Here is a 26,092-nt window from a genome sequence, read left to right as displayed (position 1 = left end):
ATTATGATTCAGACTATTTTTTAAAAGTCATGATTCCCTAATGTACTAGCCATAGAAATGTAAACTCACAACTTGCAGACATGTTTTGTTTAGAGTGTGCATATATATATGAGTTGAATGCCCTTAAGTGGGCATGCACTCTCCATTTTATCACAGGTCCAACCCCTTCTCACCACTTTATATTTTCTGCTTTACTCCTTTACCTTAATTGCCTGGGGCCTTGAAGATATTTCAGTCTGACATTCTGTGGCTAGAGAGGAATGATTATTATGAATACTTACAGCATATAAAGACTCATGCTTATTTTGTTCCTAAAATAGTTCACCTAAATGTAAAATTATTAATGGCATATATAAAAATCAATTTGCTTGTAAAGCTACTAAGCAATAATCTCTTTAACCATTCCAAAGCCAAAACAAAGTAGTGTAAGGCACACTGGTTTGAGAGTCAAATACAGTATATCTGTGTAGTGTGGGCAAAATAAAAATAAATAAATAAATAAATAAATAAATAAATAAATGGAGTCAAATATGTTTATTAATTTAGCAAAGTTTTTTTCTAATGACAATATCCAAGCCTGGTAAAGATATAGTAAAAATAGATATGCACCATTGCTAGGAATATAAACTGAAGCAACCTTCCTGTAAAGCAATTAGTAAATATGAATTAAGGACAGAAAAAGGCTTATATGTTTGACATTTTAAATCCTATCAGAAGCCTATATTAAGAAAACATAATAGGTCATTCTTACATTGCTATAAAGAAATACCTGAAACTGGGTAATTTATTAAAAAATTTCTTCCACCAGATACTGTAAATCATCACTCTCAAGTTCAAAGTTCCACAGATATCTAAGGCAGGGGCACAATGCAGCCAGGTTCTTTGCTAAGGCATAACAAAACTCACTATTGCTTCAGTTCCCAACAAGTTTCTCATTTCCATCTAAGACCTCATCAGCCTGTACTTCACTGTCCATATCACTATGAGCATTTTGGTCACAACCATGTATCCAGTATCTAAGAAGTTCTAAATTTTACCTCATCTCTTTTCTTCTGAGCCCTCCAAACTCTTCCAACCTCTTCCTGTTACCTAGTTCCAAAGCTGATTCCACATTTTCAGGTAGCTTCACAGCAATGCTCCATCCCTCAGCACCAATTTTCTGTATTAGGTTGTTCTTTCATTGCTATAAAGGAATACCTGGACTGGATAATTTTTAAGAAAAAAACATTTAATTGGCTCATGGTTCTTCAGACTGTTCAGGAAGAACAGCTCTGGCATCTGCTCAGCTTCTGGGGAAGCCTCAGGAAACTTACAATCGTTGTGAAAAGCAAAGGTGGAGCAAGCATGTTACATGGCAAAAGCAGGAGACATAGGGCAAAGTGGCAGGTGTTACACACTTTTGAACAACTAGATCTCATGAGAACTAACTCACTATCATGAGGACAGTACCAAGTAGGATGGTGCTAAATTTTTCAAGAGAAAGCTGCCCCCATGATCCAATCACCTCCCACCAGGCCGCAATTCTAACATTGGGGATTACAGTACAATCTGGGATTTGGGCAGGGACACGCATCCAAACTACATCAGGAAGTATATACACTTGATTTTGGCCAACATAATTAACAAATCTAAGATAACAATCAGACACCAAGATTGCTTTGGCAATACCATTAGAACACGCTGTAAACAGCAAGCATATCCAACAAAAAGGAAGTCTTAAGGTAAATTATGGAAGATTTCAAAACTATTAAAATATTTACAAAGAATTCACAGTGATTTGGAAGAAGAACTAGAAAATATCTTATAGTGAGTATTGCGTGATTACAATAAACTAGTCATGTTACTATTTGCTTTAAATGCATTATTTTATTGGAGAATTTTACAATGGGGGATTTGGGGAAGAGCACTATATACAGTCAATATGGTATAATCTCAACAATATTAAACATTCATAGAAAAAAATGACAAAAAATAATATATGTGCAAATAAACGTCCAAATATGACAGAGTGATTTTTTTCTAGATTTCGCTGCAGTTTGATATTTTTCTAAAAAATGTGTATATGAATTTTTAATCAGAAAAATAATAAAAGGAAAAGTATAATCATAAAAATTTAGTGTCATACCAGAGAGAAGAAACCTGGTTGGCTCTATTTCTGACCCTCTCATGCTTTTCTCCTTCATCCTTAATTCATGTCCAACTATATCTATGCAGCAGAACTGAAAAGGTCAACTGATCTATCTTCACACAATAAAATGTTTATTTTACATAAATGATTTTTAAAATGCAATATAAAATGAATTAACAGGGTATACATGCAGGTAACTATAAAAGACAAGTAAGTGAATGAATTCCATTCTGAATGTTCCATCCACAAATTAATATATATAAGCTAATATTATAAATATGAAATTCAGTTATATTCATATTAGTAATAAACATATATATGTATATTTAATATTAGGTATATGTGATTCAGTTATATTCATATGAAAATGAGTTCCCAAACTAACTTCTGCTTGTTCCACATTTACATGAAATAGCTCCTCAGATGTTCACTTAAATTTCAGTTAGCCCAATTTATATTGTAATTTCTTTAGGGAGAGTAAATTATATGTACATTTTGCTGTTTTTCTTGGGATCTAAGTTAAATATATATATATATATATATTTTACTGTATATCTGATTATTGAATCTACTTATACACATCTGTCATTAGGATCTAACAAGATTAAAAGCTGTGTTTTCTACAGGTCCATCTAAAGTGCCTCTTCTAATGTTCTAAAAGAGCATTAGGTGCAAAACATTCTTCTCCAACATTGTTCTATCTAAGATTATTCATGTATTTTATTATGTAATAGATGTAAAATGTATTCTATTTGTGTTCCCGTTGAATAGGTGGTGGTTGGTTACTTGCTACAAGTATACGTGAATTATTTCTGTATCTATCAATAAGGTATCTTAGAGAAATTGTGGGTATGAAGGAAACCAAAGCAGATCCCCTACCTTTACTTGACAAAAAGGAATGTCTAGTGACTGACATTAGAAAGATGATGGAATAGGAAGTTGTGGACACTCCTTACCCCATAGACACATGAATTCAAGATAAATACACGGATTTGTTTCTTTTGTAAGAAATTCAGAAACTGGTTGAGAAGTTCCTACACCATGGGTGAATGCAAAACCAGCTACGTTGCAACCTACAGAAAATTTAGAAACACCTTCTCACCACAATCCCCACCCCTGGCACAGTGCCACATGATCAGGAGGAAATGTTCAGTTTCCAGCTTCTTCTTGAGTTGGGAAGGAGTTGGACAGCACATCAAACATCCCATCTATTCCAGGGGCTACCCAAGGGGCTATCATCCATCTCACTTGTCTTGGACTAGGCAGACCATAGATTCCTAGGGCTGCAGAGAACAAAGCCAATGGTTTGAAATAGTATGACGGTGGCCGGGCGCAGTGGCTCACGCCTGTAATCCCAGCACTTTGGGAGGCCGAGGCAGGCAGATGACCTGAGGTCAGGAGTTCGAGACCAGCGTGGCCAGCATGGTGAAACCCCATCTGTACTAAAAATACAAAAATTAGCCAGGCGTGGTGGCAGGTGCCTGTAATCCCAGCTACTCAGGACGCTGAAGCAGGAGAATCGCTTGAACCCAGGAGGCGGAAGTTGCAGTGAGCCAAGATCATGCCATTGCACTCCAGCCTGGGTGATAAGAGTGAGACTCTGTCTCTAAATAAATAAATAAATAGTGTGAGGGCAACCACCACAGCTCCTCTCCTCAGTTCAGCACAGACTAAGCTCCCAGGTTATACCTGGGCAAGTAAAGAGTTAGACTACACATCCAATTTTCCAACTTCTTCAGGTGCTACCCAAGAGACTAGTTTGTGTTGCCTGTCTTGGAACACTGATGGGGCATGACATATTCTAAATACCTGGGGATCACCAAGAACAAAGAAGGTGGTTTAAAGGACCATGCAAGCAGTTGCCACAGCCCCTCCCCGTTGCTGAGAAAAAAAGCAAGCAGGAAAAAACTCCAGGTCCCAGTTTATCCCTGAGAAGGAAATGAGCAGTTCTGCACATCCAATATTCTAACTTCTCTGAATGTTACACAAAGGATTGGTTTCTGTTTCACTTGTCTTAAAATACCAACAGGGTATGACATGCTGTATACACTAGCAGGCCCTTAAGAAAAACATTGATGATTTGGACTAGTATAAGGTTTGACAAGCCCACAGAAGCACTGGTTGCATTCACTGGTGAAGGTTTCTTCTTGTACGAAGCCAATTGTCAGACTGGGATAGGTAGTGTTTTTTTCTAATGCTTAGACACAGATACAAAGAGTTAAGAAAACTGAAGAAAAGGAAAGCAAGATTTGAACAAAGGAACAAGACAAAACTCCAGAACCTGACCCTGAGGAAACAGAGATATATGAATTACCTGACATCTATATGCTGACAACAAACTATCTGAGAAATAAATTAAGAAAATGATCCCATTTACAATGGCATAAATATGATAAAATACTTAGGGATAAATTTGACTAAGAAGGTAAGAGATTGGTACTCTGGAAACTGTAAGACATTGATGAAAAAAATGAAAGAAGCCACAAATAGATAAAAAGATATCCCATGAACATGGATTGGAAGAATTATTATTATTAAAATGTTTGCACTACTCAAAGTGATCTACAGATTAAATACAATCTCTATCAAAAGTGTAATGACATTTTTCACAGATATTAAAAAAAGCCCTACAAGTCATATGGCACCACAAAAGATGCCAGAAAGCCAAAACAATATTAACAAGAAAAAACAAAGCTGCAGGCACCACACTCCTTGATTTCAAACTATATTACAAAGGTATAGTAATCAAAATACTATGACAGTGCATTAAAACAGACATATAAACCAGTGGAACAGAATAGGGAGCCCAGAAATAAACCCACACCTATATCTTTGACTACTCTTTGCCAAGGGTACCATGAATACACAATGGTGAAAAGGCAGTCTCTTTAATGAATGGTGATGGGATAAATAGATATCCACATTAAGAAGAATAGAAGTAGATTACAACATGCAAAAACCAACTCAAAATGCATTAAAGACTTAAATGTAAGATACGAAACTGCAAAAAAATCCTAAAAGAGAAAATAGAGAAAAAACTTCTTGATATTGGTCTTGACAATTATTTTTTGCATCTATCAGGATGGCTATTAAAAAAAGACAAGAGATAAATGTTGATGAGGGTGTAGAGAAAAGGGAACCCATGGACACTGTTGATGAGAATCCAAAATAGCACAGCAACTGTGAAAAACAAAGTGGACATTACATAAAATATTAAAAATATGATTATTATATGATTCATCAATCCCACTTCAGGGTATATATCCAGAAGAATTGAAATCAGGATCTAAACTCCCATGTTTATTGCAGCATTATTTACAATAGCCGAGATATGGAAACAACCTCAGTGCCTGTTGATGGATGAATAGAAAAAGAAAATGTAGCTTATACATATAATGGAACATTATTATTACTCAGCTTAAAAAAATAAGGAAATCGTGCAATATATGGCAACATAGATGAAACTCGAGAATATTTTGTTAAGTTAAATTCACTAGTCACAGAAGGACAAACACTGATTCCTCTTACATAAGGTTTCTAAAATGGTCAAACACCTGGAAGCTGAGAGGAGAATGTTGATTGCTAGGGGCTGGGAGAAGGGGACAATAGAAAGTTGCTTATCAATGGGTATAAAATTTCAGTTATGCAAGATGAGTAAGTTCTAGAGATCTGTACCTAACTATAGGTACAACATTGTACCTATAGCTAATAATACTGTATTGTACACTTGAAAGTCCACCAAAGGGTTAGATCTCATGTTGTATTCTTACCACAGTAAAGTCAAAAATATTAATAGAGTGAAGTCTATCATTTTCAAATATTTCCCCAATATCCTTGGAACCCTGTTTGAATATCTTCTTGTTTTCAATTTGCACAACATACCTATTTGCCTCTTGAAAATCATTGGATACTTGTAGGATTCTAGAGATTTAACACTTTGGTACACATTACTATCATACTGAGTATTACTAATACACAGTTAATTGTATCTTCTTACTTAAGAGCGCATTGCTCTCTCTGATATGTTCTTTAAAAAGAAGATACTATTAACTTTGTGTTTTTTACCAGGCTTAGTCCTATAACACTGGACAAATATTAAGCAATGTATCTTCAAATCCATGAGTCTATGCTTTCTATGTCCTCTCAATTCATATTTCCTCTGTCTTTGTTTGTTTTGAAGTAAAACAAAAACAGTAAACAAGTACATGTCAGTGCAGTTTTCCCCACTGTCATATCCCCCTAGCAATGTTGCCCAGGGGAAAGCTGGCTAGAGTTTTGCAATATCTGACTTTGAAATACCGTATTCTAGAATCTGAAGATCCCTTTACAATTCAAACATACATTCTTGTCCAGATAGAATCAGGACCTGAAAGTCCAACTAAAACTAGTCACAGACACCGAAGACCTGGGGAACAAGATTCCAGATCATTAACTTACTTACTATCACACAAAATAAAATATTTGTGTTGGTATTATCAGTGCATTCTCTCCTTGCAATTAAGCCAAACACAAAACAAATCTAAATTTTAAAAATATTATATTAATTCGACTCCAAAAACATCTGGTATTAAGTGTAATTATTTTTGGCACATTATTTCCAGTAAGTAACCAAACACTGGAAATTAAATCATACTTAGGTTGTTTTCTGTGCTTTGAATCAACACAATGTAAGCTAGATGAACAAAATACTAAGTGATATCAGTTTACGATAACCTGATATGTTCTTACAAATGGAATTAGAAATGTTGAAATTCTGATAGCTAAGATTTTTATATTTCTTAGCTATGAATAGACTTGGCCAGTGTTGATATCTGAGGCTCGCCATTTTATATACAGTAGTTCTAATTTGTATATGTTTATTTGTATGCATGTGGTGAGATTAAAATAGAAAATCAGTGCTTAAATGGGGGTAGGAGGCATTCACTGTAACTAACTGTATTAGTCTGTTACTGCACTGCTATACAAAAATACCTGAAACTGGGTAATTTACAGAGAAAAGAGGTTTAACTGGTTCACAGTTCTGCAGGCTGTATGGAAAGCATGGCCGGGTAGGCCTAGGGAAACTTACAATCATGGCAGAAAGGTAAGGGGAAGCAGACACGACTTATGTGGAAGGAGCAGGAGGAAGAGTTAGAGAAGGGGGAGGTAGTACACACTTTCAAACAACCAGATCTCATGAGAACTCACTCGCTATTACAAGAACAACAAGGGGAAAATCCACTCCCATGATTCAATCACCTCCCACCAGGCCCGTCTTCCAATACTGGGCATTATAATTTGAAGTAAGATTTGTGTGGGGACACAGACCCAAACCATATCACTAATATTTCCTTGCTGCTACACCTACTTACTGTTGTCATCTGAATTATCTGTCAGTACCTGATCAGGAAAATAGAAACTACCTTAGATATTTCAAGACATGGAAATTCAATTCAGAGATTTGGTAACAAGTGTTGGAAAAACAGAATCACAAAGGGTTCTGGGTAATATTTTTCCTTTTGTTTCTCTGGTATATACATATGATTGACTCCCCTAATTTAGGAACATTAGTGTGAGGTGGGAGAATATGTTTTTACAGTTGAAATGACTCTGCTGATTTTTAATTTTAATATGTAGGTATTAAATATGACAGCCACCTATTATTAAGGAATAAACTGTAACACTTTTCTAATTAAAATAAACTTGAACAGTATTATTGATTTCCCAAGGCACTGGTCATTGCCTAGCAGCAAAACTGACAGATAAAGATTGCTGGATATAATATTAGACACCATTTTTCAAATAAAAGAAAAGCTCACGTAACCTTTGGTCTCTCTGTTCTCACTCGGTGAGGGTCATTTATTGGAAAGTGGTCATTTTACAATAGATAGTAAGATGGGCAATAGGCCTGAACATTTTGATATGTTATTTCTGAGCTTTAATTTTGGTGAAGTGCTTTCCTGACTGACCCTATAAAAGTTATTTTAAATCTAGACATGAAGGTAGATGAGGATGTTGAAGAGATTATTTTTAATCAAAGTCTAAAGTTATTTATTGGTGTATGCGTACCACATTTTCTTTATCCAGTCCACCATTAATGGGCACCTATGTTGATTCCATGTCTTTGCTATAGTGAAAAGTGCTGCAATGAACAAATGCATGCATGTATCTACTATGCAGCCGTAAAAAGAAATAAAATCACGTCTTTTGTAGCAACATGGATGCAGCTGGAGGCCATTATCCTAAGCCAATGAAAGCAGGAACGGGAATCCAAATACTGCATGTTCTCCTATATAAGTGGGAGTTAAATATTGAGTATACACAGACACAAAGAGGGGAACAATAGACACTAGCTATTACTTGAGGGTAGAGACTGTGAGAAGGGTGAGGATCAAAAAACTACCTATTGGGTACTATGCTCAGTACCTAGGTGATAAAATCATTTGTACAAGAAAACCCCATGACACACAATTTACCCATGTAACAAACCTGCACATGTAGCACCTGAAACTAAAATTATAGTTGGGAGAAAAAAATTAAACGACATTCGTAGCTAGCTTTAAAAATTAAAAATAAGGTTATTTCTCTCTTGTCAGTCCTCCTACTTGCAAATACTCCAGATAAAAATATGTGTCTAAGGAGAGAATTTGATTTCTGATTTTTTTCATTTGTAAATTATATGTATTAGACCAAAATACAGTTTAAAATATTTAGAGGTTTGTCTTCAATTATTTTACAAGTAGCTGAATGAATGTCTACGAAAACTTTGCTAAAGTCATAAATTTGATCTCTTGCTGAGCAACAGCCTCAAGGTTTAGGGATGTCTTATTATAGGGGCTGTAAACTCTGGTGCCTTCAGGAGTAAAACAGGTAAACTGAACTAATGAAGCTATTAGCATGATCTTGTGTTTTCATACATAAGTGCAAATCTATCAATGTTCATGAGAAGTCAAAAATCCAAATATATATGTAAAATCCCCTGACATTTAAATGCTGGCAAAAATGTAAAGTATATTTAAAATTCTATGGAATTAACAAAATATATTTGGTGATTTCAATTTGATCCACAAGGTTGCAAACTGTTTAAAATGTGGATGTAATAGGGATGCAGTTAATATATCTACAATTCAAGTTCACAACTGGCTTTGCCAAGATGCCATTATTGTAAAGTGGCAGCAAATCTGTTGCATTGCATGGAACCAATACTTACTATATATCAGATATTGTGCTAAGTGTTTCACATGCATTATCTTATTTAATACATTATTCCTAGTAGTAAGTTATTATTGTTCCTATTTTAAATATGAAGAAACTTTAAGATTTTTCAACTTGCCCAAGTTTAAGCGGTAATAAAGCAGCAGAAAAAATGACTCAAAGTGGCCTGACTGGTTCCAAAGCCCATCTCCTAAAGACTCTATCATTCTAACTTTGTAAGAGTCACCAAGACCATAGTACACAAAAACTTTACAGACCAGAATAAAGGAATTCTTAGTTGGTCATAAGAAAGAGGAATGGTGAGAAAATTATTGCAAGAATCATGGGAGAAAACTAAATAGAAGCATGATTACAACATCTATACTCTTGATCCTTCATTCCTCGATCCTTCTCTCATTTATCAGAGACCCAGAGGTCTTATCAGTTTTTACCCCATCCCTGTATTTTCAGCTTCTTCTTCTGTACTGCCCATTTGCCTACTCTTTCTTTTTAAATAATGGTAATTCCCTGGATTCAATGTCCTCTCCCAGCTACTGCTCCATCTCCTGCCCTTCATAGCCAAACTTGTAGAAGGAGTTTTCTGCACTCTTTGTTGCCATTTTTACCTCTTGAACAATATTTAACCAACTCATTTGACTTCTGTTCCAAATATTTTACTAAAACTTATGCTAATTTCACCAATGATATTCATATCATTATTCTCAGTTCAGTTGGTCTGGTCTTGGCCTCTAAACATTTGACAGTATTTACAACATTGTTCTTAAAGCATTATTTGCTCTTGGATTCTAGTAAATCACACTCTCCTGAATTTCCTCTTATCTTTTTATCTGTTTCTTTTAATGTCCTTTGCCAGTTCATCCTCTTCTATTAGACTTGACACATTATTGTTAAAATTACTCAAGCCTCTATGCTAAGCCCTATTTTCTTCTCATGCTCACAACTATTCCTTAGCTACCTTATGTACTTCTATAGCTTTATATACCATCTATTTGCTGATGTATCTCAATTTTACACCTTAGACTTAGAAATACCCTAATTAGTACGTTACAACTGCATATCTTACATTCCTACTTGGAAAACACATGTGAATCTCAAATAGGAATAATTAAAATTCAACTGTTCATCTCCATCTTATTTTCCCCAATAAACTTCCCCATCTATGGAAATGACACCATTATACAGCTAGATTCTTGAATCAGAAAGCTAAAAGTCATTTCTGATACCTTGATAAGACCTTCTATTCTCATACTCTTCACACCAAATTAATCAACTAAGTCTTGTTGATTTTATTTCCAAATTACTTCTTAACATTTTCTAATTATCTTATTCTACACTAACAGCAGTCTAGGCTAAGCTAATATCATTCCTCACATACAATAACAGGCCTGAACTGGTATCCCTGTATCCATACTCTTTTTTTGGCATATGCTGCTGCCAACATGTTTTGAAGGTTGATACATTCAGCCTCATAAAGATCATAGATGCCTTCATGTCTCCTATCATTCACCAGTGAGATATCAAAATACAGTTGACAAAGGTCACATTAGAAAAGCCAATTGAAATTATGCTTCTTTGCTAACCTGTCACCTTATTAATAAGAAGGCACAGAGCACAAACTCACCAAGCAGGGGAGGTCAAGCAGTGTACCTTTGCGGATCTCTGCACTGGGGTCAAGAACCTCAAGTATCACTCTGCCAGGGCTCTATTTTCTTGATCTTGGAAACCTGAAGGGGCCCAGGGGAGACACAAGCAATAAAGTTAAGATGTTAGGATATTGAAACTTTAGTTCCTAGGGATTTGGGAGACTGCATTTCAGCAGGTAAGGGACCACATATTTGAGAGTGATAGTTGAGCATGACATAACCTGCAGCGATAGAAAAGACAATGATGGCAGTGGTGAAACTGCATCACACAGCATAGAAGTCTTCTTGCAGTTTCATTAGTATAACTTCCTAAGTTAAATAAATTTCTGGGTCAATGGTATGGGTATTTTTAAGGCTTCTGTTAGTATTCTTAAACTTTCATTCAAAACATTCGTACTATTAGGCTGGGCGCGGTGGCTCACCCCTGTAATCCCAGCACTTTGGGAGGCCGAGGCCAGAGGATCACCTGAGGTCGGGAGTTCAAGACCAGCCTGACCAACATGGAGAAACCCCATCTCTACTAAAAATACAAAATTAGCTGGGGTGGTGGCACATGCCTGTAATCCCAGCTACTTGGGAGGCTGAGGCAGGAAAATCGCTTGTATGCAGGAGGCGGAGGTTGTGGTGAGTCGAGATCATGCCATTGCAACAAGAGCGAAACTCTGCCTAAAAAAAAAAAAAAAAAAAAAAAATTCGTACTATTAATTTACACTCTCACCAGTAGCGTAAAAAAAAGTTCACTTCACTAAGGATATTTTAAATTGAGCAATTGAATAAGAATAAATTCCTATCTTTCATTTATACCTATGGATGCATTGACTACGCCTTTTAATGTTCTGATGCTTTAAAAGATATTGTTCTTATTTTTTGTTTAGCTACATTCCTACGGCCATTTTCATATAAATAAAGTAATAGACAAATAAATGTTATCATTTTCTGAATGCTCACAATATGCCATGTACTGTTCTAAAGTCCTTTATAATTTTTAACTTTTTTAATCCTCAAAAAGAGCCTGGGAAAACAGAAATTAAACTATTTGCCCACAATCCCCTAGATAATAAGTGGGAAATCAAAGATATCAACCTGGACTCTAAATTCAATGTTACAAAGCTAAAACAGTTTACCTCTTTGAATTATAAAACATTTCATTGTTGTATCAATTGGGAACTGGATCAATATTCTAATATGTATTATTATAGTAATTTAAAAATGTGCACTTTTTATACAAATTAAATCAGCTTAATATTAAATGCTCACATTGACTAATATAAATAAAATGCTGAACATTCACAATATTTCCCAATAAATAAATCTGCAATTTTATCATATAATTTCCACATTTTTTAAGACATTTTTTAAGACTCAACTTCTTTCCTGTGGCAGCTATGTATACCATTTATTAATTCTAAATTGTTTCTAGTATAATATTCATATAGATAACTATTTGGGTATAATTATGATGGAAAAAAGCAAACAATCTCATCAATATTACTACACACTGCAAAGATTTCTTTTTGACAATAATTTAAAACTATATCCAATTAATAGGATAAGGGTGCCCATTTTTACCATTTCTATTCAAAATAACAATGGAAGTTCTAACCAGAGCCATTAGGCAAGAGAAAGAAATAAAAACATCTAAATTGGAAAGGAAAAAGTCAAATCATTCTTGTTTGCTGATGACATGATCTTATACTAAGAAAAAACTAACAACTCCACCAAAATACTCTTAGAACTAATGAACAAATTCAGTAAAGTTTCAGGATACAAAATCAACATAGAAAAATTGGTAGCATTCATATATGATAAAGGTGATCAATCTGAAACAAAAAATAAAAAGCAATCCCACTTAAAATAGCCTCAAACAAAATTAAATGCTGGTAATAGACTTAACTGAATAAGTGAAAGATCTCTATAACAAAAACTAAAAAAACCCTGATGAACAAAATTGAAGGGGAAACAAAAAATGATAAGATATCCTATGCTTGTGTGTTAGAAGAATTAATATTGTAAAATTGGCTATACTACCCAAGGTAATCTACAGATTCAATGCAATCTCTTTTAAAATACCAATGACATTCTTCACAGAAATAGAAAATGCAATTGTAAAATTAATATGGAACCAAAGAAGACCCCAGATAGCCAAAGAAGTATTGAGTAAAGAAAACAAAGCTGAAGACATCACTCTACCTGATTTCCAATTATACAACAAAGCTACAGTAACCAAAAGAGATGGCATTGTGTCTGGCAAAAAACAAACTTACAGAACAACAGAACAGAATAAATAACCCAGAAGTAAATCCACACACTTACACCCAACTCATTTTCAACAAAGGTGCTAAGAACATACATTGGGGAAAGACAGTCTCTTTAATAAATGGTGATGGGAAAACTGGATATCTGCACATGGAAGAATGAAACTAGGTCCCCATCCTTTACCATAGACAAAGATCAACTCAAAATGGATTAAAGACTTAAATGTAAGACCTGAAACTATGAAAGTATTAAAAGAAAACATTGGGGAAATGTAACAGAACCTTACTCTCATCAAAGATTTGTTGGGTAATACCTCAAAGGCCCAGGCAATAGAAGCAAAAATGAACACGAGACAGATTACATCAAGCTAAAAAGCTTTTGCACAGCACAGGAGACATCAACAAAGTGAAGCCACAGACAACAACATGGGAGAAAGTATTTGAAAACTATCCATCTGAAAAGGATAAAAATCAGAATATATAAGGAACTCAAACAACTCAATAACAAAAACATGATAATCCCATTTTATAATGCACAAATGAATAGAATAGAAATTTATCCAAAGACGGCATACAAATAAACAACAGTTCTGTAAGTGGTTGCCTGAAGATTGCCTAGATATAAATAATTTTAGAACTGAACAAGACCTTAGAGGTCATCTATTGCTTTATATTTGCAGCATCATTCCTCATATCTAATATTGTATTTGAAACTAGTATTTGATTTTGTCTTTTTTATTTTATCTGAACTGCTATTTGAGGAAAATTCTGGGAATGTTCTATTTTATCAAACATATGAGAACTATATGACAAACTTCAGGATAATGGTTATAGAGAAATGCATTTCTGTAAATTGAATTTTAGCTATATTTTAAAAATATAAATTAAATTAAATTTTGTTAACTGACATAAAAATACATAAACCCTTTTATGAAATGCATTGTTTTAGAATATATACACAAAGTAGGACAGTACTTATAGGAGACCTAGAAATTATCTATTCCAAGAATTCTCAAACATTCTTTTTGCCTTAATATACTTGAAGAGTATGACTGTTAAAATAGTTACTCTCAAAAACATTTCTTTATTTTGGTAGAAGGAACTCAGAATTCATGATTCTGAGAAGGGATGCTATTTGGGTATGCATTCTGAAAAATTCTCCAAGGTATTTTGGGTATTTTCCTCTGAGATGTTATGCCAGTTACCACATAATATCACTGATTTAGTCAAACTGTCATTTACTGAAGAGAAAATTGAGGAAAATACTTAACATCAAACAGCTATTTGTTGAAAAGCAGAGACTTGAGGCTTTTTTTCCAAAATACCATATTTAAACCCCCTATTGCTGATATTTTTATCTCACAATAGCCATTTTCTATCCTACCCAACTCTGTACACTCCGTAGTAACAGAGCCCTGATTTTGGTCAGGCTCTGGACAGCCAGGTGCTTTAATACGGAGGTTGTGCCTTCTCCACATCCCAGGAGACGAATATTGATAAGTTTAAGTAAATCACGGTAATTTCATCTTCTTTTGATATTCATTGGCAAAGTCATGGCCAATGAGCCACGAAGAAAATTCCACCCAGGTAGCTTTTGAGAAAGCTATTCTCATTCTAAATAATGGTAATAAGGAAATGTGAGGACAATGTGATATTTGCAACTGCAGTAGCTATTCTGTAATGCTAAAGAGACAAGCCTAAAGGCAAAAGTCAGTATGCTAAATAATTGAAGACCACGGAAAGAAAGAAAGGAGGGAGGGGTAGAGAGAGAGAGAGAGAGAGAGAGAGAAAGAGAGAGAGAGAGATTCTGCATTGTAACAGGGTGGAGGAAGAAAATATTCAGGGTTTAAAATTAATTAATAGGCTAGGCCCAGTGGCTCACGCCTGTAATACCAGCACTTTGGGAGGCCGAGGCGGGCAGATCACGAGGTCCAAGATCGAGACCATCCTGGCTAACAGGGTGAAACCCCGTCTCTACTAAAAAATACAAAAAAAAAAAAAAAAAAAAGAAAGAAAATTAGCCGGGCGTTGTGGCAGGCGCCTATAGTCCCAGCTACTCAGCAGGCTGAGGCAGGAGAATAGCATGGACCCGGTAGGCGGAGCTTGCAGTGAGCCGAGATCGTGCTCAAAAAATAATAATAAAATAAAATTAATTAATAAAGATATTGTAACTTATGTTATAACTTAACATGAATTCTTTCTGAGGGATTATTAACACTCTAAGAAATAGCCCCATTAAAATGATTTTAATGGTAACAGCAAAGAATAGCATTTGCAAAGAGAACTGAAAGGTTATATTTTAGGTTTAGGAGTGCTGGTTAACATTACTAAATGAAGTGAAATAGATCTCTACTGAATTGATAATTTTATGTTTATTGGCATTTTAATACTCTTAAATTTATCTGAATTACCTTGTACTGCTATACATCCATACCATAATATCTGGCTGAAATAGCCTTTGAAATAGGCTCTATGATGCCTCTGTCTTTTGTCTTGTTAGTCCTATGTTTTTGCAGGTATGCATTTCTGTAATTTGAGATATGTGAAACCCTTTTGCCTTTTCTGTTCTTCTCAACTGTACTTGAATTGTCTGAGCCCACAGGGAAAACATCTGAAAAACAATTATAGAATATTTTTAAATCATTGAGTTTCAGGGAAACTCATGAATCATTCAGTCCAGCATATTTAGAGCTCCCAAATCTTCTTTTTAAAAAATGTCTGTGACCTCTTCTAATTTATAAGGCATATTGTGCAGAAGTGGCTGCAAAAAATGAGCAGGGCTACATTTGGGTATAGGCTGAATGTATATCTAAACAGTGTGAAGTCTAAATAGTACCAGAAAAAGCCCCTAACACCCTAATATTTCTCTCATTGCCTATCATAAAATCTATAATTTCTCATTTATAAAATTATTATTTTTGGATGTAAAGCCTTATTGTCCATAAAAATTATCTCTTTTTAAATTGAAAAGTAGACCGAGAGAAGTGGTTCATATCTATAATCCCAATGTTTTGGGAGGCCGAGGTGGGAGTATCAATTGATCCCAGAAGTGCAAGACTAGCAGGGCAAGATAGCAAGCCCCTCCCTCTACATAAAATGTATTAAATTATCCAGGGACCGTGGAACACTTCTGTAGCCCCAGCTACTCTGGAAGCTGAGATGGGAGAATACCTAGAGCCCAGAAGTTCAAGGCAGAAACGATCTATGATCATGCCACTGCTCTCTAGCCTGGGTGACAAAGGAATATTCTGTCTCTAAAAATAAATAAATAAAATTGAAAAGTGTCAATTAACAACATAGATATTAGTTGATCACTAGATCAGTTTGAGAAAAAATTGGGTTCTGGAAGCAAGGGGATTTGGGCAGAAATGCCAGGGACATAATAAGAGGGGAAAGAATAGGGTTTCAAGACAAACTTCACCTACTCTTTGCTCCAAGCTAAAAAAAATGACCACTGGCTGCAGAAACTAAAGAAGTCACTGCAAAAAGTATTATTTTTCTTGATCAGCAAGCATTTCCCAGGCAGTTTCCCCAGATAAAGGCTTCTCAAACTTTAATGTGCCTAAAAATTAATTATACATCTTGTTATTAAAGCTAATTTTCTGTTCTGTTCTTGTCCCCACATAATCATGTGTCAAGGTTATGTTAGCATAAAAAATTCTAACTATACATAGGTGATCTGGGATAGGCCCAGGAATCTATAAATAAGGATTTCCTCACTTGGTTATGATGCAACTCAGCTCCAGCAACTTTCAGCCTAGAGTCAATCACCTGATTGGCCCTAAAATAGCTTACAATCTAGAATGGGGAGAGAAGATAGATCAATCGATAGATAGATAGATAGATAGATAGATAGATAGATATAGAGATAGAGATATGTAATTAAACATAAGGCAGAGTGTAACCAGGGTTATGGAGAAGAAGGGGGAAATACACAGTTTTGAAGATCAAGGAAAGCTAGGTAGGAAAGATAACTTTTGAGTAATGCATTACTTAAAAAATAAGATATAAAAAATGCAGCCAATATCAGAAAAGTATAAAGTTAGCAACTGTTTTTCTTTTCTTTTTTTTTAATTATACTTTAATTTATAGGGTACATGTGCACAACATGCAGTTTTGTTACATAGGTATACACGTGCCATGATGGTTTGCTGTGTCCATTAACTCATCATTTACATTAGGTATTCCTCCTGATGCTATCCCTCCCCCTGCCCCCCACCCCATGACGGGTCCCAGTGTGTGATGTTCCCCACCCTATGTCCAAGTGTTCTCATTGTTCAATTCTCACCTATGAATGAGAACATGCAGTGTTTGGTTTTCTGTCCTTGTGACAGTTTTCTCAGAATGATGATTTCCAGCTTCATCCATGTCCCTGCAAACGACATGAACTCATCCTTTTTTATGGCTGCATAGTATTCCATGGTGTATATGTAACACATTTTCTTAATCTAGTCTATCTTTGATGGACATTTGGGTTGGTTACAAGTCTTTGTTATTGTGAATAGTGCTGCAATAATAATACATGTACATGTGTCTTTATAGTTCTCATTCATAGGCAAGAATTGATCAATGAGAACACTTGGATATAGGGTGGGGAACATCACACACTGGGACCTGTCATGGGGCGGGGGGCAGGGGGAGGGATAGCATTAGGAGGAATACCTAATGTAAAATACCTAATGTATATGTGATTTATAATCCTTTGGGTATATACCCAGTAATGGGATCGCTGGCTCAATTGGTATTTCTAGCTCTAGATCCTTGAGGAATCACCACACTATCTTCCACAGTGGTTGAACTAGTTTACACTCCCACCAACAGTGTGTAAAAGTGTTCCTATTTCTCCATATCCTCTCCAGCATCTGTTGTTTCCTGACTTTTTAATGATAGCCATTCTAACTGGTGTGAGATGGTATCTCATTGTGGTTTTGATTTGCATTTCTCTGATGACCAGTGATGATGAGCATTTTTTCATGTGTCTGTTGGCTGTATAAATGTCTTCTTTTGAGAAGTGTCTGTTCATCTCCTTTGCCCACTTTTTGATGGGGTTGTTTGTTTTTTTCTTGTAAATTTGCTTAAGTTCTTTGTAGATTCTGGATATTAGCCCTTTGTCAGATGGGTAGATTGTAAAAATTTTCTCCCATTCTGTAGGTTGCCTGTTGACTCTGATGGAAGTTTCTTTTGCTGTGCAGAAGCTCTTTAGTTCAATTAGATCCCATTTGTCTATTTTGGCTTTTGTTGCCATTGCTTTTGGTGTTTTAGTCATGAAGTTCTTGCCCATGCCTATGTCCTGAATGGTATTGCCTAGGTTTTCTTCTAGGGTTTTTATGGTTTTAGGTCTAACATTTAAGTCTTTAATCCATCTTGAATCAATTGTTGTATAAGGTGTAAGGAAGGGATCCAGTTTGAGCTTTCTACATATGAGTAGCCAGTTTTCCCAGCACCATTAATTAGATAGGGAATCCTTTCCTCATTTCTTGTTTTTGTCAGGTTTGTCAAAGATCAGATGGTTGTAGATGTGTGGTGTTATTTCTGAGGCCTCTGTTCTGTTCCATTGGTCTATATCTCTGTTTTGGTACCAGTACCATGCTGTTTTGGTTACTGTAGCCTTGTAGTATAGTTTGAAGTCAGGTAGGGTGATGCCTCCAGCTTTATTCTTTTTACTTAGGATTGACTTGGCAATGCGGGCTCTTTTTGGGTTCCATATGAACTTTAAAGTAGTTTTTTCCAATTCTGTGAAGAAAGTCATTGGTAGCTTCATGGGGATGGCATTGAATCTATAAATTTCCATGGGCAGTATGGCCATTTTCACAATATTGATTCTTCCTATCCATGAGCATGGAATGTTCTTCCATTTGTTTGTGTCCTCTTTTATTTCATTGAGCAGTGGTTTGTAGTTCTCCTTGATACCTTGAAGAGGTCCTTCACATCCCTTGTAAGTTGGATTTCTAGGTATTTTATTCTCTTTGTAGCAATTGTGAATGGGAGTTCACTCATGATTTGGCTCTCTGTTTGTCTGTTATTGCTGTATAGGAATGCTTGTGATTTTTGCATATTGATTTTGTATCCTGGGACTTTGCTGAAGTTGCTTCTCAGCTTAAGGAGATTTTGGACTGAGACAATGGGGTTTTCTAGATATACAATCATGTCATCTGCAAACAGGGACAATTTGACTTCCTCTTTTCCTAACTGAATACCCTTTATTTCTTTCTCTTGCCTGATTGACCTGCCCAGAACTTCCAACATTATGTTGAATAGGAGTGGTGAGAGAGGGCATCCCTGTCTTGTGCCAGTTTTCCAAGGCAATGCTTCCAATTTTTGCCCATTTAGTGTGATATTGGCTGTGGGTTTGTCATAAATAGCTCTTATTATTTTGAGATATGTTCCATCAATACCTAGTTTATTGAGAGTTTTTAGCGTGAAGGGCTGTTGAATTTTGTCAAAGGCCTTTTCTGCATCTATTGACATAATCATGTAGTTTTTGTTGATGGTTCTGTTTATGTGATGGATTACATTTATTCATTTGCATATGTTGAACCATCCTTGCATCCCAGGGATGAAGCCCACTTGATCATGGTGGATAAGCTTTTTGATGTGCTGCTGGATTTGGTTTGCCAGTATTTTATTCGGTTTGCCAGGATTTTTGCATCGATGTTCATCAGGGATATTGGTCTAAAATTATCTTTTTTTGTTGTGTCTCTGCCAGGCTTTGGTATCAGGATGATGCTGGCCTCATAAAATGAGTTAGGGAGGATTCCCTCTTTTTCTATTGATTGGAATAATTTCAGAAGGAATGGTACCAGCTCGTCTTTGTATCTCTGGTAGAATTCGGCTGTGAATCCATCTGGTCCTGGACTTTTTTTGGTTGGTAAGCTATTAATTATTGCCTCAATTTCAGAGCCTGTTATTGGTCTATTCAGAGATTCAGTTTCTTCCTGGTTTAGTCTTGGGGGGGTGTATGTGTCCAGGAATTTATCCATTTCTTCTAGATTTTCTAGTTTATTTGCATAGAGGTGTTTATAGTATTCTCTGATTGTAGTTTGTATTTCTGTGGGATCGGTGGTGATATCCCCTTTATCATTTTTTATTGCATCTATTTGATTCTTCTCTCTTTTCTTCTTTATTAGTCTTGCTAGTGGTCTATCAATTTTGTTGATCTTTCCAAAAATCCAGCTCCTGGATTCACTGATTTTTTGAAGGAGTTTTTTTGTCTATATCTCCTTCAATTCTGCTCTGATAGTAGCTATTTCTTGCCTTCTGCTAGCTTTTGAATGTGTTTGCTCTCGCTTCTCTAGTTCTTTTAATTGTGGTGTTAGGGTGTTGATTTTAGATCTTTCCTGCTTTCTCTTGTGGGCATTTAGTGCTATAAATTTCCCTCTACACACTGCTTTAAATGTGTCTGGCAACTGTTTTTCTAAATTTTATTACGTACCCTCATGTCTGTCTATCCAGGGTCCTCATGCTCTCTTCTGATGACAGAATCACATAAGCCTGTCCTTACTCTGCATTTTTTCATTTCCTATCCTTTCTCTCACTCATAAAAACTTACCTCATCTCACCTCCCTTCAGGAATGGGTTGGTTGAATATCTAATTTGATAAAGTAACTGATGATAATAGAATGTTGTCTTTAAAAATATTTTCAGTGCCTTTGCTTATAGAAATGACTAACTTGGACATCCTAGCAAGCTGGAGATAGGATGGAAAATGCTTTTGGTCAAAGGAATCATCAATGTCTCTTAATTCATACTGAAGCTAATGGTCTTAAAAAAATATTCACTGTGAACTGATCGATATTGTTCAGCAAGAAACAAACAAATTTACAAGAAAAAACAAATGACCCTATTAAAAAGTGGTCAAAGGACATGAACAGACACTTCTCAAAAGAAGACATTCATGAGGCCAACAAACATGAAAAATGCTCAATATCACTGATCATTAGAGAAATGCAAATCAAAACCACAATGAGATACCATCCACACCGGTCAGAATGGTGATTATTAAAAAGTCAAGAAACAACAGATGCTGGTGAGGCTGTGGAGAAATAGATATGCTTTTACACTGTTGGTGGGAATGTAATTTAGGTCAACCATTGTGGAAGATAGCGTGGCAATTCCTCAAAGACCTAGAACCAGATATACCATTTGACCCAGCAATCCCACTACTGGGTATATCCCCAAAGGATTATAAATCATTCTATTATAAAGACACATGCATGCATACGTTCATTGCAGCACTATTCACACTAGCAAAGATGTAGAATCAACCCAAACACCCATCAGTAATTGACTGGATAAAGAAAATATCCTACATATACACCATGGAGTACTATGCATCCATGAAAAGGAATCATATCATGATGCATGATACTATGCATCATGTCCTTTGCAGGTCATGAATAGAGCTGGAAGCCATTATCCCCAGCAAGCTAATGCAGGAATAGAAAACCAAACACCTCATGTTCTCACTTATAAGTGGGAGCTGAACAATGAAAACACATGGATACAGGGAGGGGAACAACACATACTGGGGCCTGTTGGGATTGGCAGTGAGAGGGAGAGCATCAGGATAAATAGCTAATGCATGCTGGCCTCAACAACATGAAGAAAAACGTTGAATAAGCCGAAAGTCAGTAGCTCTTCTTGGATGCATTAGAGAATTTAGGTCACTGGGCAAATCAGTGCTCCAAAATTGGAAATACAGATGAATACAGAGAATAACAGATTACCAGAGCAGAAACTCAGAAGTAGAAGCCTACCACTGGAACCAGAGTATAAACACTTAAAATGTAATTGACAAATTGCTGGAGGCTCAGTCTTGACACATTTGAGATTTAAAAATTGCGGTGAGTCCCAGTTTTAGTGGTAGCCCCTACACGTTCCTGAATGCTACCTCTAGGATCCCCACCAAGTCGTTGGGGAGAATGTACTATGAAGAAAAATTCCCTTCTGCCAATAGAGAGAAAGAAAAATTGCCATTTAAAAATAGGTCTAGAGCATTCTGCTCTCCTTAACAACAACAACAAAAAAATTGCCCTCAAAGAAAACTATTTAACCAGAATCTGACCACATTGAGTTTATCCAGAGCATGACCAAACTGGAGGCAAAAATTACCCGACTCCAGTCATCTTTTAAGCTCAATCAGAACATGGCAATCAGCACGATGTCTCTGTCCATCCATCAACAACTCCAGTCACTTCTAGCCTTCTTGTTTCACCTTGCGGGGAGGGCAGAAAATAAGAAACAATTGATAAGCACTTATGGCACAAATGATAAGCACTGCCCAGGCACAAAGGCTAAATAAAAGACTGAGACATTATCATAGGACTGTAAAATGTTTCCCCTACCCCAACCTTACCACCACGTCAAATGGGTTCCTCTATTATAACTAACAGGATTAAAACTGAAAGAACCGCATGGCTCAGATCTTATTTAAGAAGTCTCGGCCAGGCGCGGTGGCTCACGCCTGTAATCCCAGCACTTTGGGAGGCTGAGGTGGGCAAATCATGAGGTCAGGGGTTCAAGACCAGCCTGATCAACGTGGTGAAACCCCGTCTCTACTAAAAATACAAAAATTAGCTGGGCGTGGTGGCGTGTGCCTGTAATCCCAGCTACTCAGGAGGCTGAGGCATGGGAATTGCTTGAACCTGGGAGGCGGAGGTTGCAATAAGCAGAGATCGCGCCACTGCACTCCAGCCTGGGCAACAGAGCGAGACTCTGTCTCAAAAAAAAAAAAAAGAAAAAAAAGAAGTCTCTAGGAAAACCCAAAGGCAAAGGGGGAGGCAGACAGTAGGATGACAGAGGAAATGTTAGCCTCTGACCCATAGAACAACAGCAAATAGTAAATACAGATGAATTATTGGCCTGCTAAGCAAAATCCTCACACTAACTGCCTATTTACCTAGGCTCTTTTTACCCAGTACATCATGTCTTACATTCAATAAAAAATTACAAAGCATACTAAAAGACAAAAATAATAGTTTGAAGAGAGAAAGCAAGTACAAGAATCAAACACAGTTATAGCAGAAAGCTGTCATCCAAAATTTTGAAACAAGTATGATTAATATATTAAGTAGTGTATTTTTAAAATGTAGAAAGCATTCAAGGACAGGTAATATACGCAGAGAGATGGAAACTTCAAGAAACAATTAAAAAGAAATACTAGTGATCGTAAAACATTGTAAAAACAATAAAGAATGCATTTGATGGGCTAATAAACAGAATGGACATAGCCAAAGAAAGAATCAGTAAGTATGAAAATCTGTCAATAGAAACTTCCAAAACTGAAATGGAAAGAGAAAAAAAGAATTTTAAAAATGGAAGATAATATCCAAGAATTGTGGGACCGTTACAAAAGGTATAAAATACACATAATGGGAATACCAAAAGATTAAAAAATAAAAGAATATGGGAAATGTATAAAGTAATAATGATTGAGAATTTTTCAAAATTATTGAAAGACACAAAACCACAGATTCAGGAAGCTCAGAGAACACCTAGCATAAAAAATACCAAAATCCTACATCTAGGCATACAATGTTCAAATAGCAGAAAACGAAGGTAAGGAGACAATCTTGAAAGAAGCCAGAAGGGGACAAAAAAGTACAGCAACAGAGGAGCAAAAATAAGATTTAAATCAGACTTTCTCCTCAGAATCCATGAAAGTTAAAAAAAAAAAAAGACAAAATAGTGGAGTGAAATGTTAAACGTGTTGAAAGAAAATAATCAGCCAAACTAAAACTTCATTTCCTTTGAAAAGGATGGTTTAAAAAGCCTTCAAAAGCAAAGGAGAAATAAAGACTTTCTAAGAAAACCAAAAATTGAGAGAATCTGTCACAAGCAAACCTGCCATACAAGAAATTTTAGAAGAAATCCTTCAGAGAATTAAAAAAAGGAAAATAAAAACTATTTTTGTCTAAACTTTGAATGCTTGCAGATCTTATGGTCAGAATATTTTCTTTACTGTAATTATATCCTTCCCTTGTGCAAAAGTCTTTCAAATAAAGTCTTTCCTTAAAAAAATAGAAATTTTTTGAGAATAAAAGAAGATGATGTAAGTCATAAATTCAGATATATATGAGGAAAGGGAGAGACTTAGAGAAGAAATAAATGAAGGTAAATTAACCTATTTTACTTTTCTTATTCTTAATTGATCTAAAAGATAACACTTTGTTCAAAATAATAACAGTAATAATGTTTTACAGTGAATATAGTTTGTGATAAATTGAAATAAATGGCAATGGTATAAGAAACATCAGAAAATAATTGTGAATCTCTATTAACTACTTGCATTATCTCTGAATAGTATAGTATTATTTAAAAGTGGACTTGGATTAATTGTAAGTGTACATTGAAAACTCCAGAGTAACCACTGAATAACATTTCACAAAGTATAGACAAACTAAGAGAGGAGAAAAAATGGAATATATAATGTGCTCAATTAAAATCAGAAAAAGAGTCATAGACAAAATTATGAATCAAAAAGAATAGAAAACAGTAACAAATATGGTAGATGGTAATTCAACTATATCAATAATTATTTTAAACTTCAGTGTTCTAAATACAATACACCAATGAAAAAACAGACGGACAGAGTGGATAAAATACCAAGACCCAACTCTATTATTGAGGGCTCTCCAGAGAAATAGAACCAATATGATAAATCTATAGCTATATGGATATAAAATTTTTAGGGGAATTAGCTTACATAATTATGGAGGTTGAGAGGTTTTACCATCTGCTGTCTACAAATCAGAGAACCAGGAAAACTAGTGGTGTAGCTCAGTCTGAATCTGAAGGTCCAAGAACCAGGAGCTCTGATATCCAAGGAGAGAAGAAGATGGATGTCTTAGCTTAAGAAAAGAGAAAATTTACCCTTTTTCTACTTTTTATTCTATTCAGCCCCTCAAGGACTTGAATGATGCCTGCCCACACTGGTGAAACCGGACCTTCCTTACTCAGTCTACTGATTCCAAAGCTAATCTCTTCTAGAAATACACTTACAGAAACGCACGAATAGTTTTACCCACTATTTAGGCCTTCTTTTGCCCAGTGAAGTTGACACATAAAATTAACCTTCACACCCAACTATATGCTGTCTAGAAAAATATCCACTTTATATAGAAAGACACAGAGATATTAAAAGTTAATTAGCTTTATTTAATTATTTTACATTGTACTTAAGATCATAACATCACAATATACTCCCATAAACATATGCTAATTTTTCAATATATAATTTTTTTAAAGTAAATAGAAAAAGATTTAATGTGCTAACACTACTCAAAAGAAAGTATCAAAATACATGGGGCAAAAACTAACAGAATTGCAGGGAGAAATAAATAAATTCACTCTTACAGTTGGAGAATTTAACACCTGTCTAACAGAAAATGACAGATCCATCGGAAAACCAATAAAGACATAGGAGAACTGAACAGCACCATCAATCAAATAGATCTAATTTACATTTGTAGAATACTTTATTCAACAGTAGAATACACATTCTTCTCAAGCTCACATGGAATATTCACCAAGATAAACCACATTCTGGACCATAAAACACATGTTAATAAATTTTAAGATACAGAAATCATACAAAGTATGCTCTCAGATAACAGTGGAATTAAATGAAATTAAAAATCAACAACTGAAAGATAAGTGGAAAAATGAGTCAAAGAAAAAGTCACAAAGAAATTAAGAGCTATTTTGAACTAAATGAAAATACAACATAAAAATTCGAAATGCAGAAAAAGCAACATTCGAGGAAAATTTACATCATTGAATATATATATATATCATATATATATATATGATATATATATATGTAAGAAAATAAGAAAGTCCTAAAATTAATAACCTATGCTTACATCTTAGGA

At 35.4% G+C, this 26,092-nt stretch overlaps 1 non-coding gene across 1 annotated transcript, besides 1 other annotated feature; it reads right to left on the bottom strand.

Annotated features, from left to right (window-relative positions):
- Positions 3,474-3,975: an enhancer, noted in NCBI's record as "H3K27ac hESC enhancer chrX:93420613-93421114 (GRCh37/hg19 assembly coordinates)". NCBI's record gives its function as "activates a minimal SCP1, AML or CMV promoter by ChIP-STARR-seq in naive H9 embryonic stem cells {active_cell/tissue: H9 hESC(naive)}" and the evidence as "EXISTENCE:reporter gene assay evidence [ECO:0000049][PMID:30033119]".
- Positions 22,355-22,419, bottom strand: LOC124900491 (small nucleolar RNA SNORD43). Its single transcript, XR_007068423.1, has one exon. It is a non-coding gene; the product is annotated as a small nucleolar RNA SNORD43 (small nucleolar RNA).
- Positions 22,420-26,092: the final 3,673 nt, after the last annotated feature.

The sequence above is a fragment of the Homo sapiens genome, chromosome X (assembly GCF_000001405.40).
Source record: "Homo sapiens chromosome X, GRCh38.p14 Primary Assembly".
Taxonomy (NCBI): Eukaryota; Metazoa; Chordata; class Mammalia; order Primates; family Hominidae; genus Homo; species Homo sapiens.
This window is presented reverse-complemented; position numbering and strand designations above follow the sequence as displayed.